The 2,673-nt window shown below is 39.8% G+C and overlaps 1 annotated feature.

Annotated features, from left to right (window-relative positions):
• Positions 823–992: an enhancer, noted in NCBI's record as "experimental_45073 CRE fragment used in MPRA reporter constructs". NCBI's record gives its function as "activates a minimal promoter by MPRAs in K562 erythroleukemia cells, with activity observed for the introgressed 16:77154416 variant allele {active_cell/tissue: K562}" and the evidence as "EXISTENCE:reporter gene assay evidence [ECO:0000049][PMID:34662402]".

A 2,673-nucleotide genomic window follows, 5' to 3' on the forward strand; every position in this document is an offset into this window, starting at 1 on the left:
GAGAACTGAACAAATAATATTTTTTCATTGTATCCAAATGAGCGTAAACTCTAAAGGTGAAAAAATATTTCCCAATGAAGCTTATTTTAATTCACTTACTTTACTTTTGCTTAAGAACACTCTTCTAATTCATGGAAAGAATATTTCAATTGTTTGTTTTTGTTCGTTTTTCATTTTCTCTTAATGTGTTTTCTTCTGTGGGCTTAGCTAATGCAGTGATGACTATCTACTTAAAACAAGCCTCCCTTGTTTTAAGATAATAGCAAATCTCTGCTTTGCTTATCACTGGTCTGAAGCTCTACTGTGATCAGTTAAAAAACTTCACATAAGGCCGGGCGCCGTGGCTCACGCCTGTAATCCCAGCACTTTGGGAGGCCGAGGCGGGCAGATCATGAGGTCAGGAGATCCAGACCATCCTGACTAACACAGTGAAGCCCCGTCTCTACTAAACATACAAAAAATTAGCCGGGCATAGTGGCGGGCGCCTGTAGTCCCAGCTACTCGGGAGGCTGAGGCAGGAGAATGGCATGAACCTGCGAGGCAGAGCTTGCAGTGAGCCAAGATCGTGCCACTGCACTCCAGCCTGGGCGACAGAGCGAGACTCCATCTCAAAAAGAAAAAAAAAAAAAAACTCCACATACAGAAAAGGGTCTTTTCACTGGAAGAGTGCTTTTGTTAAAGAATAAAGTCACAGTCTATTATAAAATGAGAAAGAGACAGAGAGAGGGCTGAATTAGGATTTTTTTCTATCTTCTTTACCAGAACTCACTTCTGACTATCAGAATGCTTAGGAGTTTGCATCTTAATCCCTGAGAAAATAAGCAGGCCTTAACTAAGCGAACTCTGTTAACAGGGTGCTAATTTTTTTTATGTACAACCTTCTTATTTAGTGACAGCCATTGTTAATATACTGCTTTGTAGCCTTACAAACTTCCGTGTGTGTATAATTAACAAAATGAAATGGTATAGTGTATACTTATTTTTTAAATAACTTTCTCATTTAAGATATGAATAGCTTCCTATATCAGTGCACTTATTCTACACAAACTATTTTCTCTTTAACTTTTTTCAATTAAAGAAAAAACTAAACATAAGTATCTTTTATAGGTAGCATTGAGAGTGAAATCCACCCCTCTTTTCTAGCCTCCAGGAGCACTATTACCAACAGGAAATTATTACCAATAGTTTAGTGGACTGTCCTCATTTTTTTAGTCTTATTGAGTTATAATTGACAAATAGCAATTGTATATATTTAGGATATACAACTTGATGTTTAGATATTTGTATATATTGTGAAATCACAAATATATTTGTATAGATTGTGAAAACACAAGATATACACATTTGTATAGATTGTGAAAACACACACACACACACAAAGCTAATTAGCATTTCCGAGAAAAGTTACCTCTTTTGTGGTAAGAAGCATTTAAAATCTAACTTTATTGAGCTTCAAGATAATCAATTTAGACCTCCATGTAGAATTCCTTACTCAGGGGAGATAGGCCAGGAGGGAGCTGGAGATGTCCTGTGCTAAGTCCTGATTATCCATCATCCAAGTGAGCTAGTCTGTGTCCTGGGGTCAGGAGCAGGCACCAGAGTCCTGGCACCTTTAGTCCCTCTACCGACTTCATCCACCAGTATCGTATCACCAACAAACGAAGTGAAAACAGGAATCCCACAGACCTCTGGGGCAAAATCAACATGTAGCTCCTTCCTTTTCCCTTTAGGGTTCATTTAGAAATGACTGGCAATGCAGACGCACTCTGTATTCCACCATATGTCAGTGATTTGAAGACACAGGTTTTTCACATCTCAATGGCTCTAAAATCTAGATGCATCTTACGATTGATTGCTGTTGGCCAGGCAGAAGCTGTGATGTAATAAATGAACCCTGTGACTAGAGTAACATTGTACAGAAGAGAGAGAGAGAAGACAATAAAGGTTTTGAGTACAATAGATAAGTTGTTCTTTAACTTCAGAGGACATTAGAATCACCTGGAAAGTGTTTTAAAATCCAGATTGTCAGAGCCCTCTTTCAGGACTTTGGATTCACTGGGCCTGAAGTGTGGCCAAGAATTTGCATTTCTGACAAGTTACTGGTGCTCCTGATGTTGGCCTGGGAACCATCTGAGAACTGTTTCTCCAGGAGCTAGGGACCGAATGTTTGCAACCCTCAAGATTCATTTATTGAAACCTAATGCCCCAATGTGATGATATTATCAAGTAGAGCCTTTGGTAGGTGATTAGGTCATAAACATAGAGCAGGGGTGTCCAGTCTTTTGGCTTCCCTGGGCTGCCAAGGAAGAATCGTCTTGCACCACACATAAAATACACTAATGATAGCTGATAAGCTAACAAAAAATTGCCAAAAAAATCTTGTAATGTTTTAAGACAGTTTATGAATTTGTGTTGGGCTGTATTCAAAGCCATCCTGGGCATGTGGCATGTGGGCCACAGATTGGACAGGCTTGGCAGAGAGCCTTCATGAATGAGTTGCTGTCTGTAGAAGGGGCTGAAGAAACCGTAGTTTGCCCCTTCCACCATGGGAGGACACATACGAGAAGGCACCAATTATGAATCAAAAAGTGAGCCCTCACCCGACACCAAATCTGCCAGTGCCTTGATCCTGGAGTTTCCAGCCTCCAAGACTGTGAGAAATACATTTGTATT

Source organism: Homo sapiens, chromosome 16 (genome assembly GCF_000001405.40).
Source record: "Homo sapiens chromosome 16, GRCh38.p14 Primary Assembly".
NCBI classification, from domain to species: Eukaryota; Metazoa; Chordata; class Mammalia; order Primates; family Hominidae; genus Homo; species Homo sapiens.